We start from the raw sequence: 18536 nt of genomic DNA on the forward strand, positions 1-18536 counted from the left end.
TGTCTGTTATCATTCAGAAATTGGACAAACTGGCCACCTTTGTCTTCATTCAAGTTATTGATAAAGTTGAAAAGGAAAGGGCCACATACTTTGACGGCTGCTGCCATATTACTATCCTCAAAGTCATATTTCTCCATTTCACTCATGATGAAATTTAGAGACTCAAGAGTATCTAAATAATATTACACGTTCTTGATAAATTCATGTTAGCTATCTGTCATTTAAAAATCCTCATATTCCTTTTTGGAAACACATTAAGCATTGAAATCACATTTATAATCCCAGAATGACCTTTTCTGCTTAGAAAACATAGAAAAAATGACTTATAAACCTCCTCTACTTTCCATATTTTTAAGATAATTTATAATGGTTCTACAATTGTATTAGCAACTTCTTCATTATAAAAGAAATATGCTATAATCATCTCCTTACCTAGGCTGGGATTTGACTTTTTTCTTAACCACAGTGACCCTACTTTTCCTAATGTGAAAATCATTTCTTTTGATAGAAAAGACAGAAGTAAAAAATGAGTTAGAATTCTAAAATATGAGTTGGTTTCCATGTAATTTAATCCATACTTTTTGAGATCACACTAAATAAGAGCTGAAGAATGCTCAAAGTTGTTAAGAAAAAAACCAGCCAGGGACGGTGGCTTACGCCTGTAATCCCACCACTTTGGGAGGCCAAGGCAGGTGGATCACCTGAGATCAGGAGTTCGAGACCAGCCTGGCCAACATGGCAAAACCCTGCCTCAACTAAAAATACAAAAATCAGCCAGGTGTGGTGGTGGATGCCTGTAATCCTAGCTATTCAGGAGGCTGAGGCAGGAAAATCGCTTGAACCTGGGAGGTGGAAGTTGCAGTGAGCCAAGATCACACCATTGCACTCCAGCCTGAGCGACAAGAGCAAGACTCTGTCTCAAAAAAAAAAAAAAAAAAAGAAAGAAAGAAAAGAAAAAAGTATTTTTCTGACTCAGTCACTTTCAGTAGAATTTCAGAGAGCCATAACCTGTCTTCCATCCACTCCAACTTTCCCCAAACTCATTAAGGAAGCCTTGATGGGCCTTATACTTGTGCTTCTGAATGTATGGGTGAATGAGTTCCTTCATTTCCTGGTGGGCAATAGTGCTCCTTTGTCGTGGCCAAGAGCACTATTGTCAAAGCTTTAGCATCCTGCTTTCCATTCCGCTGCTCCCATCTATGGTGTCACAGTCCCAGACTGCCAACCCCAAACCTCCACTCCACTGTTGTGGGCACACTACCCAGGGTTCCATGTCTCTCTGACTCCTGCCCACTCTGATGTCACCTGCTGCTTGCCTGCTGTGTCTCCTTGATACAGAACAGTCACTTTGCTGAAGCAGAGGAAAGCCTTTCACCCATGACCAGCTGTGTGGGGGGTGTTACTTTCTCCTCTTTTCCAAGTTCTAACACAAATTTCTGTAGTTGAGGGTTTTGATAATCTGAGTAATACACCCAGGCATATCCCAGACTCCCCATGCCTTCTGAGAGACCCATTGTTTTCAGCATACTCTTGGACCTAGTCTTTTTGTTACATTAGGATAAGTTATTTCCTACAGGAAACTCCTGTTCCTCATAAAAGAAGCATTTTCCCTATAGCCAAATAGCACCTGTCTTCCTTTTCTTGGGTATATTTGACCCTAGAATTCTACAACACAATTAGAAGATTGTATAATATTTCAGATTTGTGGTAACTTAACACTTTCACAAGAATACACACACACACACACACACACACACAGATACAGTTGAGTCTTATTTACAGTAGTTAAGTTCTAGAAAGTTACATCGATCCCTGAATTAGCAAATACTGAATTATTGCTCCTAGGGGAAATACAGAATTAGTTTCATGTGAGCCTCTAGTGACATTTTTATCAAGTGATCAATATATAACCTTGTTTTATGTGCATTTCTGTAAAAACACCTTATTTAATATATATTACTGATTCATTAACATTGATCTAACAGTCAATAGCACAATAACTCAAGCCTACACTCATGTATTTCTTCTGGGAAACACACCACAGCTTTGTTGCACTGAGGAATGCTAGACAGCACTTCACCACTATGCTTGGGGGCCATTTGAACAGCAAAATCACGAACAAAAAATACAAACATGCAAAAAGGTGCCAGTGAACATACCGTGAAGAGAAAGAACCCTTATTTACACTGTGAGAAATGAAACGAGAAAGCAGAGGGCAGAGAGTCACCTTGTTCCACGTAAGCTGGGAACATGCGCACATTGTGTGACAAATTTTTCATCACCCTGCATATGCCCAAAAATGACCATAAAAGTAGCAGAGTATTGACTTGGGGGTTACAAAATTCAGTGCATATGCAATTTTGTGAATCTGAAATAATGAGGCTCCACTGCATGTGTACTGGCTATATGTATAACCTCATTTTTTGAGGGTTTCAGTGAGTGTAGTGCCAGGGAGAAACCACTCTCCTGCTGGGCGCTTCATCCCCTCCCTTCCTCCCACCTTGCCTTTGAAACTCTAACTCACTTTCCACTTGGTAAACAGCAACCCTCATAACCACTGGGGAGGGGCCCTCTTCTCTGTACTGTTTCCTTCATCTTTCAACCAGTAACTTTATCTCCAGTCCTGGAATTATTCTTTTATTCCCAGTCTAAGTTTTGTTCTTTAAGAATATTTTTATCTTCCTTGTTGGTATTATAACGAATGTTACATAGGCAATATATAAATAAAAGAATGTTCAGTGAATTTTACATTTCCCCCCTCACCGCTGCTCCTAGTCACCTAGTTCCTTTTCTTCTCGGCAGGGGCAACCACTCCCACATTATTTATGTATCTTTCCAGAGATATTCTATTCATATCCAAGTGCAACAGTTTCATGTAAATAGTATCCCTCTGTATAAATATATATATGCATCTTGCTTTTTTCACTTATTGATGAATCTTGGGGGTAGTTCACACCAGTATACGTAATCTGGCAAACATTATATAACCATTATCCTCGTATTACATTGTGCGGGTAATCGATATGTTACACACAATTCATGGGATGTCTTTGATCCTTTGATACTTATGCCATCAGAATAATCATCTTCTGCTTCCATGTAAGACTTGAACAGAGCACATGACTTGATTTATATGCCTTTGATAACTTGAGTCTCAATACAGAAATTAGAATGCCCAGTCCAAGGTATTATTCAAATGCTTGGATCTGCATTCAAAGGTTAGGCTCTCATGCCAAGGCATGATTTTGGTGGCTGCTTGGCTGCATTGAAGCAGAGGTTATGGTGGGTGTTTCTAGCTGCTCCTTTCCCACTGGGGCAGGGATACTCTTCCTCACTATCTGATACTTACAGAAGGATTAAAGCAGACTCTTTCTTTTGATGAATGCTTCCCTGAGTTCCCCAGAGAACCATTGGTGGAAAACTATCTCTTGCATTTCCTTTGACTGAGGCAGATCTGAGTCCTGGGTATAGCTACTGGCAACAGCTTCTGACTCCTTCCTTGTCCACCTTCCTTGCTATCATGTTTCCTAGTCCAGGGGCTATGCAGAACTCCTGTAGTAATTTCCTTGCTGCTCTAACAATGTACCACAAACTCAGTGGCTTGAAACAACACAAATGGAGTATCTTACAGTTCTAGAAGTCAGAAGTCTGACATGGGTATCAGGAGGCTAACATCAAGGTAGCTGCAGGGCTGTGTTGCTTCTGGGGGCTCTAGAAGAGAATCTATGACCTTGACTTTTCTAGATTCCAGAGGCTCTCTGCATTCCTTGGCTCATGTTTCCTTCCATCTTTAAAACCAACAATGGCCAACTGAGTCTTTTTCATGCTGCATCGTTCTGACACTAACTCTCTTGCCACCTTTCACTTACAAGGACCCTTGTGATTACATGGGGCCAAGGATAATCTCTCCACCTCAAAGTTGGCTGGTTACCACTTTAATTCTGCCTGCAACTTTAATTCCCTTTGCCATGTAACTTACATTCACAGGTTGCAGGAATCAGGATATGGATATCTTTGGGAGGTTGTGATCTTGCCTACTACATCCACTATTCAGTCAGTTATATCTGTGTACAGGAAGCCTATGTCTCTCTGTACATAGGTTACAGTTACATTGGCTATCTGTGCAAAAGTTACTCATAACCTATGCACAAATAGCCAATAACCATGCCTTACTTGCTCTGACAAATGTAGTGCCACTGATGTCAATGCAGATACCTTATGGACTGTCACGGGCACTTGAGATTTCTTGAGCATGGCCCAGCACCAAGTTCTTGGAAACACTCAACTTCAAGGAACACATTTCTGAGTGATCCTCTCCAGCAACAGCAAACCTCAAGTGCTATTATCTCTCTGCTTCTCCCTCTCAGCAATAACCATAACCCTTACAGATCCTCTCTCCAATCTCTAACCCTTCCTTATCATTCTTTATCTGGGCTGATGGGTCCAAGAGTCATAAAACCATTTCTATAACATTTCCCTGGTAATCCCTGAACATGGAGATCTGTGTTGTGGTTATTTAGTATCTAAAATTCCCTTGACTGACATCTTAGAAATTTTATTTTTAACAACCAATTCCTGGTATTTTGTTGTTTATTATTACAAATGATTCCGCAGCGAATGTTCTTATACATACATTATTTCATACATGTTCAAGTTGTTAGATAAGATCAAGTAGAATTATTTAATGGTAGAAAGTCCCCATTTTTATTTTTGATGGATATTGCCAAATTGATGTTTATACTAGTTTACATGCCTCTATACAGACATATATACCAAATTACACTGGAGCAAACAACTGAAGGTCACTGTTTTCCCCCGCAACCATTAACAGGACATAATGTCAACCTATTGACTTTGCCTATTAAAGTGATGATATATACTTCATTGCATTTCTCTTCCTCCGAGTAGAAATGAACATTTTATAAACATGAACAATTTGCAATTACAGCTGTTTCCTGTGTGTTTTTATATGTTTTCTAGTAATGTTTAACTGACTTAAAAGCAGCACAAAGCCAAAGTAGGGCTGAAACTAATTTTGAGAATCTTCCCAAGGGAAAGAAATCAGGAAAACTGAATGTTGGGCAACAAGAGCCAATAACCAGAGCTGTGAAGCCCCAGACCCTATTAAATGTTCTAATTCTTCCAAATTTTGTTTTGACCATATGCAGATTGAAGAATAATCATAAAGACCTTCTTATGATTCTCGTACTACCTCTTTCTCTCCCTCTTAAGGGAGGATACAGAAGCAGTGGCTCCATTCCAAGGGATGTAGCAGAAGTCATTCTTTGATTAGAGATTTCTGGAATGAGTGCTCTTTCCTCTTAATCTTTTATACTTAGATAAGTCACCAAAACCCAAGTAGTTATTCACTGAGCTTATGTCAACAAGGCTACAGTGGATAAATCAAGTAATTTTTAAAAAATTATTAAAGCAGGACCTTGGCTTTCTAACTCTTAAACTTCTAGTGAGAGGTTTCATTTATGAAAGACAGTTTTATCTTTGCATAATATTCTCTTAAGATAACTTTTATCTAGGACTTTACAGATAATTTTCAAAAGATTAAAACTCAGTCTTTGCTCAGTTTTATCACAGCAGAGTTAATATCATCTTTTCCCAAATGACCAATCATTCCAATGTGAGGAAACTTCTGTTTACATGTTTTCAATTAGAATTTATTTAAATATTAGAAATGGATGAGAAACAGATGACAAAACTATTTAGGTCTACCTTCAATGTAAAAACATTGAGAATATAAACATCAAAATAATATTGATACTTACTTTGACACCCCTAAATTCTGTGTTCCTTTTTTTAAATTATACTTTAAGTTCTGGGATACATGTGTAGAACATGCAGATTTGCTACATAGGTATACACGTGCCTTGGTGGTTTGCTGCACTCATCAACCCGTCATCTGCATTAGGTATTTCTCCTAATGCTATGCCTCCCCAATCCCCCCACCCCATGACAGGCCCCGGTGTGTGATGTTCCCCTCCCTGTGCCCATGTATTCTCATTGATCAGCTCCCATTTATGAGTGAGAACATGTGGTGTTTGGTTTTCTGTTCTTGTGTTAGTTTGTTGAGAATGATGGCTTTCAGCTTCATCCATGCCTCTGCAAAGGACATGAACTTCATTCTTTTTTATAGTACTCTATGGTATATATGTGCCACATTTTCTTTATCCAGTCTAACATTGATGGGCATTTGGGTTGGTTCCAAGTCTTTGCTATTGTGAATAGTGCTGCAATAAACATATGTGTGCATGCGTCTTTACAGTAGAATGATTTATAATCCTTTTAGCGTATACCCAGTAATGGGATTGCTGGGTCAAATGGTATTTCTGGTTCTAGATCCTTGAGGAATCGCCACACTGTCTTCTACAATGATTGAACTAATTTACCCTCCCACCAACAGTGTAAAAGCGTTCCTATTTCTCCACATCCTCTCCAGCATCTGTTGTTTCCTGACTTCTTGATAATCGCCACTCTAACTGGCGTGACGTGGTATCTCATTGTGGTTTTCATTTGCATTTCTCTAATGACCAGTGATAAGCTTTTTTTCATATGTTTCTTGGCCACATAAATGTCTTCTTTTGACAAATGTCTGTTTATATCATTTGCCCACTTTCTGATGGGATTTTTTTTTCTTATAAATTTGTTTAAGTTCCTTGTAGATTGCAAAAATGTTCTCCCATTCTGTAGGCTGCCTTTTCACTCTGATGATAGTTTCTTTTGCTGTGCAGAAGATCTTTATTTTAATTAGATCCCATTTGTCAATTTTGGCCTTTGTAGCAACTGCTACTGGTGTTTTCGTCATGAAGTCTTTGCCCATGCCTATGTCCTGAATGGTATTGCTTAAGTTTTCTTCTAGGGTTTTTATGGTTTTAGGTCTTACATTTAAGTCTTTAATCCATCTTGAGTTGATTTTTGTATAAGGCGTAGGAAGGGGCCCAGTTTCAGTTTTCTGTATATGGCTAGCCAGTTTTCCCAACACCATTTATTAAATAGGGAATCCTTTCCCCATTGCTTGTTTTTGTCAGGTTTGTCAAAGATCAGATGGTTTTAGATGTGTGTATTATTTCTGAGGCCTCTGTTCTGTTCCATTGGTCTATATATCTGTTTTGGTACCAGTACCATGCTGTTTTGGTTACTGTAGCCTTGTAGTATCATTTGAAGTCAGGTAGCGTAATGCCTCCAGCTTTGTTCTTTTGGCTTAGGATTGTCTTGGCTATACGGGCTCTTTTTTGGTTCCATATGAAATTAAAAGTAGCTTTTTCTAATCCTGTGAAGAAAGTCATTGGTAGCTTGATGGGAATACCATTGAATCTATAAATTACTTTGGGCAGTATGGCCATTTTCACATGAGCGTGAAATGTTTTTCCTATCCATGAGTGTGGAATGTTTTTCCATTTGTTTGTGTCCTCTCTCATTTCCTTGAGCAGTGGTTTGTAGTTCTCCTTGAAGAGGTCCTTCACATCCCTTATAAGTTGTATTCCTAGGTATTTTATTCTCTTTGTAGCAATCGTGAATGGGAGTTTGCTCATGATTTGGCTCTCTGTTTGTCCATTATTGGTGTATAGGAATGCTTGTGATTTTTGCACATTGATTTTGTATCCTGACACATTGCTGAAATTGCTTATCAGCTTAAAGAGTTTTGGGGCTGAGATGATGGGGTTTTCTAAATACGCAATCATGTCATCTGCAAACAGAGATAATTTGACTTACTCTCTTCTTATTTGAATACCCTTTATTTCTTCTCTTGCCTGATTGCCCTGGTCAGAATGTCCAATACTCTGTTGAATAGGAGTGGTGAGAGAGGGAATCCTTGTCCTGTGCTGATTTTCAAAGGGAATGCTTCCAGCTTTTGCTCATTCAGTATGATATTGGCTGTGGGCTCGTCATAAGTAGCTCTTATTATTTTGAGAGAAGTTCCATCAAAACCTAGTTTATTGAGTGTTTCTAGCATGAAGGGTGTTGAATTTTATCAAAGGCCTTTTCTGCATCTATTGAGATAATCATGCGGTTTTTGCCACTGGTTCTGTTTATGTGATGGATTATATTTATTCATTTGCATATGTTGAACCAGCCTTGCATCCCAGGGATGAAGCTGACTTGATCGTGGCAGATAAGTTTTTGTTGTGCTGCTGGATTTGGTTTGCCAGTATTTTACTGAGGATTTTCACATTGATGTTCATCAGGGATATTGTCCTGAGATTTTCTTTTTTTGTTGTGTCTCTGCCAGATTTTGGTATCAGGATGATGCTGGCCTCATAAAATGAGTTAGGGAGGAGTCCCTCTTTTTCTATTGGTTGGAATAGTTTCAGAAGGAATGGTACCAGCTCCTTGTTGTACCTCTGGTAGAAATGCAGCTGTGAATCTCTCTGGTCCTGGGCTTTTTTTGGTTGGTAGGCTATTAATTACTGCCTCAATTTCAGAACTTGTTATTGGTCTACTCAGGGATTTGACTTCTTCCTGGTTTAGTCTTGGGAAGGTGTATATGTTCAGGAATTTACCCATTTCTTCTAGATTTTCTAGTTTATTTGCATAGAGGTGTTTATAATATTCTCTGATAGTTTGTATTTCTGTGGGATCAGTGGTGATATCCCCTTTATCATTTTTTTATTGTGTCTATTTGATTCTTCTCTCTTTTCTTCTTTATTAGTCTGGCTAGAGGTCCATTTTGCTAATCTTTTTTAAAAAAATCAGCTCCTGGATTCACTGATTTTTTGAAGGTGTTTTTGCGTCTCTATCTCCATCAGTCCTGCTCTAATCTTAGTTATTTCTTGTCTTCTGCTAGCTTTTGAATTTGTTTGCTCTTGCTTCTCTAGCTCTTTTAACTGTGATGTTAGGGCATCAATTTTACATCTTTCTCGCTTTCTCATGTGTGCATTTAGTGTTATAAATTTCCCTCTAAACACTGCTTTAGCCATGTCCCAGACATTCTACTATGTTGTGTCTTTTTTCTCAATGGTTTCCAAGAACTTATTTATTTCTGCCTTAATTTCTTTATTTACCCAGTAGTTATTCAGGAGCAGGTTGTTCAGTTTCCATGTAGTTGTGCAGTTTTGAGTGAGTTTCTTAATCCTGAGTTCTAATTTGATTGCACTGTGGCCCGAGAGACTGTTTGTTATGATTTCCATTCTTTTGCACTTGCTGAGGAGTGTTTTACTTCCAATTATGTGGGTGATTTTAGATATTTCTGATATCCTTTCTTCTGCTTGATCAATTCGGCTATTGATACTTGTGTATGTTTCACGAAGTTCTCGTGATGTGTTTTTCAGCTCCATCAGGTTATTTATGTTCTTCTCTAAACTGGTTATTCTAGTTAGCAATTCTGCTAACTTTTTATCAAGGTTCTTAGCTTGCTTCCATTGGGTTAGAACATGCTACTTTAGCTCAGAGGAGTTTGTTATTATCCACCTTCTGAAGCCTACATCTGTCAATTTGTCAGACTCATTCTCCATCCAATTTTGTTCTCTTGCTGGCAAGGAGTTGTGATCCTTTGGAGAAGAGACATTTTGGTTTTTGAATTTTCAGCTTTTGTGCTGGTTTTTCCTCATCGTTGTGGATTTATCTACCTTTGGTCTGTGTTGTTGTTGACCTTCAGATGGAGTTTTTGCATGGTAGTCCTTTTTGTTGATGTTGATGCTATTACTTTCTGTTTGTTAATTTTCCTTCTAACAGGCCCCTCTTCTGCAGGTCTGCTGGAGTTTGCTGCGGGTCCACTCCAGACCCTGTTTGCCTGGGTATCACTAGCAGAGGCTGCGGAACAGCAAAGACTGCTGCCTGCTCCTTCCCCTGGAAGCTTCATCCCAGAGGGGCACCCGCCAGATGCCAGCCAGAGCTCTCATGTATGAGGTGTCTGTCAACCCATGCTGGGTGGTGTCTCCCAGTCAGGATACATGGGGGTCAGGGATCCACTTGAGGAGGTAGTCTGTCCCTTAGCAGAGCTTGAGCACTGTGCTGGGAGATCTGCTGCTCTCTTCAGAGCCGGCAGGCAGAAATGTTTAAGTCTGCTGAAGCTGCGCCCACCGCTGCCCTTTTCCCCAGGTACTCTGTCCCAGGGAGATGGGAGTTTCATCTATTAGCCCCCTACTGGGGCTGCTGCCTTTCTAGATGTCCTGCCTAGAAAAGAGGGATCTAGAGAGCCAGTCTGGCTACAGCTGCTTTGTGGCCCTGTGGTGGGCTACACCCAGTCTGAACTTCCTGGTGGCTTTTTTTACACTGTGAGAGGAAAACCACCTACTCAAGCCTCAGTAACAGCGGGTGCCGCCCCCACTCCCCGCCCCTACCTTGAGCTTCCCAGGTTGACTTCAGACTTCCATGCTGGCAGCGAGAATTTCAAGCCAGTAGATCTTAGCTTGCTGGTCTCTGTGGGGGTGGGATCTGCTGAGCAAGACCACTTGGCTCCCTGGCTTCAGCCCCCTTTCCAGGGGGGTGAATGGTTCTATCTCACTGGTGTTGCTGGTACCACTGGGGTATGAAAAAAAAAAAACTCCTGCAGCTAGCTGGCTGTCTGCCCAAATGGCCACCCCGTTGTGTGCTTGAAACTCCTAGTCTGTGAGTTGTGAAGACTGTGGGAAAAGCATAGTATCTGAGCTGGATAGCACCATCCCTCACAGCACAGTCCCTCACAGCTTCCCTTGGCTAGGGGAGGGAGTTCCCCGACCCTTTGCACTTCCTGGGTGAGGCAATGCCCCAACCTGCTTTGGCTCACCCTCTGTGGGCTGCACCCACTGTCTAACCAGTCCCAGTGAGATGAACTGGGTACCTCAGTTGGTAATGCAGAACTCATCTGCCTTCTGCGTTGCTCTCATTGGGAACCTCAGACTGGAGCTGTTCCTATTCGGCCATCTTGCCCAGGAATCTGTTTGTGTGTTCCTTCTAAAGTTGGATAAAATGATGGCAATATTCTCTGTGTTCATTCAGAGGAATATTGGCATTCAGTGCCCTTTATCATGGGATTTTACACATTCATATACTATATTGAGCATATAATTTATGTCTAATAATATGCTCTCTGAAACTGCTGAAGGAAAAAGAAAGACACTTTCTACTTCTTCCCATGAAAAATATAGGATCAGGAAATGAGAATGCTGACTGCAGGTAAATTGATCTATGTGGAGAATCTCTGATTTTGGGCAATCAAAATGAATGATGTTTTCTGACACCACTTAGTGATTAAAAGTGGCATAAAAAACATTTCAAGGACAGGAAAATTTACCATTTGTTCAAGTGAAACCTTTATTGTTTTCAAGGCAGCACAGCCTTGAACCAGCCAGCCACTACCCCAACCAGCACAGCTATTTTCCTCAGATGATCTTTCCACTCCTCCCATTGGCTTAGCATTGCCTGTAAAATAGTACAAGTAGTCCTAACTTTTCATGGTTGTGCAGGCCCATTATAATGATCCTGCAAGCTGAAACCATACAAATGGATCTTAATAATCTATAAAAAAAAAAGCTACAACTGTTCCATGACCTTTAAATTTTTTTCTCAAACATTAAAAAACTCTTACCATAGTTTATAAATGTATAGAAAATGCAACAAATAGTAAAACTAATATTTATTTGGTACAACAGAAATATATTGATATTACATTTTGATATTACTTTGATAGATCATTTGATATTATTGACATATATTGATTTGGAAATATTTTTATATTAATATATTAAAGCCACAGTGAGTTGAAATTATTTCTTCATATTTTCATCAAAAGTAATTTGAACAGTGTTTGCCTTCTCTCTCTCATCAATGTGTAACTTAAGATACAGAGGGAGCATTGTTTCTGCTTTGGGGAATTACTCTGCTTTCTAAGTTTTGATCAGCTTCAAACGTGTCATCCTTTGTGCTCTCAATGTCATGAAATACCTCTGAGAGTTCTTTTAATGTAAAAATGTCATGTCATCTAGAACAGCTTTATTCTTTTTACCATGACCTCTTTCTTCATTTATGGAGATAAATCCACCTTCATTAAGGCCCTCTGGCGGCAGATCAAAAATGTCTCAAATGGGGGCCAGTAACAACTATTTCTTTTTAGCTCCATTTATGTTCATTCGGTTCACATTCAAATTTTGTTTCTTTGTTACACTTTCGCTTTTGTTGGTCAATTTACTCTGTTGATTATCCATTTGTGTAAAAAGCAACACAACTACACACTTTGCTGTCTGTATGTGATCTGAAAACAGATTCTCAGTAATCAATCGCTGACAAGTTTTGAAAGAAGTGACACGATTGGTCAGTGATCATGATGCACATCTGTCATTTGTACAATGGGTGAGGACAGAAGTGCTAACAGGAAGTTTGTACTTTATGTAATTATCCAGTTAATATACCATGGTAACTGTCATTGGAGCCAAGTTGTTGGAGGACCATCTTAACAAACTGTGGCAACTTAAATTCATGCATTCGGGAACCGTGCAAAGCAAGGACTGGTTTTCTATAAATAGGAATGATGTGTGTATTTATTTGTTCATAAAGACTGCCTTTTGGAAGCATTTAATTCGCTCCTTTTTCTAGGTGTAGTTTAAGAAAATAGGAGAGAAAAGTGGAAGAAAATACTACGATCTGTTGAGAGATTACTCACATGTATGTCTCTGTATGTTATTTGATTTATCAAATCATTTATTTAGTATTTATCATTTCATTTTTCTAAGAGCTTTACAGATACCATCTCATTTAATCATCTTAATAACAATAAGGTAGCTATTGTTACTTTCCCTCTTAAAGATGAAGACATAGGCACAGAGAAGATAAGTGACTTACCTAAGGTTGCAGAGCTTGTAAATGGAAGAGCAAGATTCCAAATCCAAACAGTTGGCTTTGAAGGCTGCACTTCCAACCACTGCACAGTGCTGCCATGTGTAACGGGTCCGTGTTGCTAATTCTGTGAAGTTACACAGTGTCCAGTTTTTGCTCCTCTTGGTAGAGTTAGGCCTACCTCATTTATTATTGGCATTACGACTATAAACACATCAGTACACAAAGCTGGCATCATCTATCACAGAGATTACTAAGTCTCCACAGAGCTTAGGAGAGAGGCCACGCCTTTCTTTCAGAACAGCCATGAATGAAAAGAGAATGTTTTGGAGGAAAGGAAACGCAATTGGTGACATCTCTCAGGGTCTGAATCAATTATTTCAGAGGTCAAAGGTATGAAGCTCTTTATGGAGGTGGACAAAAACACCAATGATAGTGGAATGAGTCAACTGTTTATTCAATTTTACCTATATTTCAAAGGTCTCTTTAGGAAAATATTCAAGCCAACTCTATTGAAATTTAAATGACATAAATTTGACTTTGTCTTGCAAACAACTGTCTACTCCTCTAACCACTAAACCTAAAAATTATAAATTTCAGTGACTCTGACAAATATATTAGGAACAAAAATAACTGTACTGATAAATACAACAGACAGAGTACTGATAGTTCAAAAATAGCATCCCATTTCTCTTGTTAAAAGTCTGTTTGGGAAATACTAGTAATCAGATAACTTAATTTGAATCACTGGAGTTGCAGTTAAAGATTAAAATGCTTGTTTATTTTTTAAATCTTCTTGGGTTTCATTTCCACTTCCCGAATGTCAGCTTAGTGCCTAGCAACAGCCAACCCTCCAATTTTCAGTGCTATCCTTTTCTCTCTTTGTCAAATAAAAAGAAAAAAAAATCAAAAGGTTATGCAGGTTGTTACTAGAAATAACTTATTTCATAAAACAATATGAATGAACTACAGTAAGTCATTCATGAGTATAAGTTCACAAAGAGGACAGTAGAGATTCTATTTCTCATGGACTCTTTCTTTCTAATTCGAGTCCAGTTCCAGTAGTTGTGAACTTCTTTAGTCCCTATAAAGCAGATCTTGGTTCCCAACTGATTTTATTTAAAAAGGGGGGAAAAAAGAGAGAATAATCAATACTAAAGAAAAACTAGTGAAACCGAGCACACATGTTGGGCAGGCAGCACAATAAAAACAGTAGCAACTAGAGACACACACAAAGAGATCTGTGTCCTACACAAGTGAATCAACCAGTGTGGGCACCAGTTTCCATTAAGAAAAAAATAATGTAGCTAATGATAACTAAATTCACTTTAGGTTCAAAATTCAAATAATACCATAAAAGCACTTTAAATTATTTCAAGGCCATCCAATACAGTGTAACATCCATTGCATCATGCCACTCTGCTTAAATGCCTTCATTGCCTACCCATTTCTCTTAGAACCATTTTTATTCTTTGTAGGCCAGATTCCTTAACATGGCCCCGAGTGATCTTTTACCAGTCTCTCCACGATGCACACTACTCCCCTTTCACACTGACCTTCAGTTCTTCTTGTTCCCTAAGCTCATGCTCATCTCTAGGCTTTTGCCTTTCCTTTCTTTCCCTTAAGCCTGGGACATTCCACATCTGAGCTTATTAGGGCTGCCTCCTTCTTGCCCTTCACTTCTTCTTCTCATAGAGGCTTTCCCTATGCCACTGACCTAAGGGAGATTTCCTTCATTTAACCTCTATCACCTAGCCTTATGTAATTTTCTCTATAGCACTAAACACAACTTGTAATTACCTTATTTATTCACTTGCTTATTATTTGTTTTCTCCTATACAAGAGCATAAGCTAAGTAAGGGCAGGAATCTCATCTTTCTTATCTTATCTTACCCACGTTTCTCCTGGAACAGTACCTTGCAAATGGTAGAAACTCAATACTATTTTGAGAATAAAGGAATGTTCATATGTCATTTGCTGATATATCACCAATGCAAAAGCACAATGCTTGGTATGTAGTAATCACTTAGTTAAAAAATCCCTTAATGTAACTGAATAACTCAACCAGATCATCTTCTTCATAGTGGTTGCTATAGTTTAGATTTTTGTCTCCCAAACCTCATGCTGAAATTGATCCTCAGTGTTGGAAGTGGGAGTCAAGGGGAGGTAATTGGGTCATGGGAGCAGGTCCCTCATGAATAGATTGATGCCTTCCCCTTGGGGGTGAGTTCTTACTTTATTAGTTCCTGAAAGAGCTGATTGTTAAAGAGTCTGGTACCTCCCATTCAGAAGTGGAGGTGCTTCGTCTCTCGTCATGTGATCTGTGCATACACTGGCCCCCCTTCATCTTCTGCCATATATGAAAGCAGCCTGAGGCCCTCTCTAGAAGCAGATGCCTCTTGTAAAATTCCAAGCTTCTCATACAGCCTGCAGAGCCATGAACCAAATAAACCTCTTTTCCTTATAGATTATCTAGCCTCAGGTATTTCTTTATGGCAACACTAAACAGACTAAGACAGAGGTGATGGTATGAGTTACTTATTATTTTCTGTATTAGTTCCAATCCTGCTGTAAAAAAATACAAATGTGATGGCTTAAAACAACACACATTTATTATCTGACAGTTCTGATGGTCAGAAGTCTGACATGAGTCTCACTCAGCTAAAATCAAAGTGTCAGCCAAGATACATTGCCTTTCTTAGCTTCTATATGCTGCCTACATTCCTTGTGTTGTAGCCTCGTGCCTACCTTCAAACTCGGCCATGGCCAGTTGAGTCTCATGGTGCATCAGTCTAACACTAACTGGCCTGCCTCCCTCTTCTATTTATAAAGACCATCATAATTATACTGGGCTCATCCAGATAATCCAGGATAACCTCTCCATCTCAAGATACTGAATTTAATAACAGCCGCAAAATGTCATTTGTGATGTAACGTAACATATTCACAGGCTCCAGGGATTAGGATGTGAACATCTGTAGGGGGCCATTATTCTGCCTACCACCTTGTCATTTGGTATGATTCTGAGAACAATTCACCTTTGTCTTATGCAACCCCATGAAAACTCTCTCTCTTATCTTTTAAATACGTGCTACATGATCACATTCTAGAGAGAAATTCCCTATAAGTAAACTTATCTCCCATTTTCCCATCTCAGGAATATGGCCTGAATGTGTGGGTGATGCAATTTTGCATAAATTGAGAAATAGATTTAGACTACTACCTCCTATGCAGACAAACAGCCTGAAAATAAGCAGATGTTGACATCTTTGGACAAGCTCAAAATCCATTTTGGTTGCTTGTAGAAGATAATTACAAGAAGAAAAAACACATTCCATTCTCATCACCAAAATGAGAACAACAGCACTGGGTCTTGTAAGAATATAGAATTCAGGGGGAGCCAAGCAAATTGCATCATTATTAGAAGGATCTATCTTAAACCTGGGGGTAGGGAAGAGAGACAGGATTATGGATTCCCAAATCTGCGTTTAGCTAAGGCAATTTTCTTCATTTGCCTATGGTAAAACAGCCTATATAATTAAGCAAACCCAGGGGCCTAACACATTAACTTGCCATCGATATATTCTATCTGCCTTGGCACCACTAGTGTTTCTGGCATTATTTATGAAGGCACTCTTGCTATATTTGCACAGCATGCAGCATTGTTCATAGCAGGCTGTGGATTATTGTCAATGAATAATGCCCTAGAAGCTCCTAACCCTTTGTTCTTATGTCTAATAACTAAATCAGCAATAGCTGCTTCTCTGTGTTCTGCTTCAGATGATAGCACAGCCATAAATAAGCTACCAGCCACAGGATTCATTTGGCATCAGTGAATACCCTACAAAGCTACAGGTTCACACTGTTCCCTGATACACTATAAACAGTGTTCATCACTAAGAATTTTTTAAAGGTGATGAACCTTAAATATGGACATCAGAATTTTCTGAAATCTCATTTTGCTTGAATTGTTTATCATCCAACATATACCTCAGGTCTTCTTTGGGAATTTACCTGTGAGAGATGGCAAGAACAGTGCCAGAGAAAGAAGAATTCCTCCACAGCCTCTCTTCTGTCTAAATTACTAAGAATTGCGTGGAAAGTCATCTTCTAACATAGGAGGAGGGAGGGTTTTTCCCTCCTGGAAACCTCCATGCCTTGTCGGAGAGCTTCACAAGAGGCCAGTGAATCTCAGACTTGGATTTCACAGCCCAGTTTAGCCAAAAAAACAAAAAACAAAAAACAAAAAACAAAAAAAACAGAGATTTCTCCTTTGCCTTTTCCAACAGGCCACATAAAAGCACTTTACCAAAATTCACAGAACTCGTTCTCCTTTTGCTAAAACGCCATGAGGTCACTGTCTGTGACTAGTACCTACTTCAATGTCTCTAGTGAATATCTCTCAAATTCATTCAAGAAGCAAGCACTCAGAAATATGCACTAACCTCCTTTTCTTAAATGGAGGCACCACTCAATTTAAGACTCATGACTTACAAGGAAGATATCAATCACCTGCTACCGACACCAGACAGGAAGTCAGAGCAAGTTTCCTGGATAGAGCTGTCCTGTTTCACAACCATAGTGATGAGGAACTTTGCCACTAAAAAGCACTGGAAAGCCCCTTTGTTTCCTGGACTTTACCCAGCCTTATCATCTCACCAGGCTGTATTAGTTTCCTGCGTGTGTCTAAACAAATTATCACAACTTGGACGACTTTAACAAAACAGAAAGTTATTCTCTCACAATTTTAGAGGCCAAAAGTCTGAAATCAAGGTGTTGGCAGGGCCACGCCTCCTCTGAAAGCTCTAGCGGGGAATCCTGCCTTGCCTCTTCCGGCTTCAAGTGGCTCCCGGTGTCCCTTAGCTTGAGGCAGCATCATCACTCCAACCTCTGCCACCATCTTCACCTGGCCTTCTATGCTGTGTGCCTCTGTGTCCCAACCTTCCTCACTTTCCTCTTATAAAGACACCAGTCTGATCATTTTAACCCTGACATCCTCAAATCATTACATCTGCAAAAATCCCTATTTCCCAATAAGTTCTCATTCTGAGGTTCCAAGTGGACGTCAGTTTTTAGGGGGTATGGGGGAAGGACACTATTCAACTCACTTCACAGGGAGGGTTTCTCTGCCTGGGCTCGGCTGCTGTGAGAATTTGTAATCCCATGGCCCCCCGCATCCCCCTTCTCCTGCAGCTGCCTGCTCCCCTGGTCCTTACAGGAGATGTAGGGAGCCTGGAGCCTGAATTAATGCAGAACAGAGCACCATACCCACAGGGTATCATTTCCAGCCTGCCACGCATGTGCCACAGCAACCAGGCTTTCTCCCAGCAGAACGACTCCAGGCAGTCAGGCTCCACTCTGTCTCCATCTCCTCTGGGGAGACAGGTCTCTGTCTCTGAGGCTCCTTTCTTCTTTCTGGAAGATTCTTCAACCTTTCACTGAGCATTTAAACAACCTAGAGGAACTCAATTTTTTATTTAAAATATGCTTTTTTCTGAATATAAAGGTAATTCAACTTATAAGATGATTTTTTAAAAAATACATCAGAATATTAAATAGATAAAATCCGCATTGGCCCCACTTCATACAGGAAACCACTCTTCTGTGTATACATATGCCTAAACAATCTTTCCCTATGAAACATAATTTTTAAAAACGGATAGGGCAAGGTTGTACATATTGCCTCCCTTGGATCTCAGGGAATTCACGGAACTGAATCCACTCATTATTATAATTTTATGATATAGTCAACACAATGAAAACAACATTCGAGA

General features: G+C 39.6%; 1 long non-coding RNA gene across 1 annotated transcript in view, besides 1 other annotated feature; it reads right to left on the reverse strand.

Moving 5' to 3' along the window:
* Positions 1 to 18536, reverse strand: part of STXBP5-AS1 (STXBP5 antisense RNA 1) — a 363227-nt gene that overhangs the window by 91788 nt on the left and 252903 nt on the right. The gene's annotated exons all lie outside the window — the stretch shown is intronic.
* Positions 17158 to 17452: an enhancer, noted in NCBI's record as "tiled region #4624; HepG2 Activating non-DNase unmatched - State 4:PromP". NCBI's record gives its function as "activates a minimal TATA promoter and a strong SV40 promoter by Sharpr-MPRA in HepG2 cells {active_cell/tissue: HepG2}" and the evidence as "EXISTENCE:reporter gene assay evidence [ECO:0000049][PMID:27701403]".

Source organism: Homo sapiens, chromosome 6 (genome assembly GCF_000001405.40).
Source record: "Homo sapiens chromosome 6, GRCh38.p14 Primary Assembly".
Taxonomy (NCBI): Eukaryota; Metazoa; Chordata; class Mammalia; order Primates; family Hominidae; genus Homo; species Homo sapiens.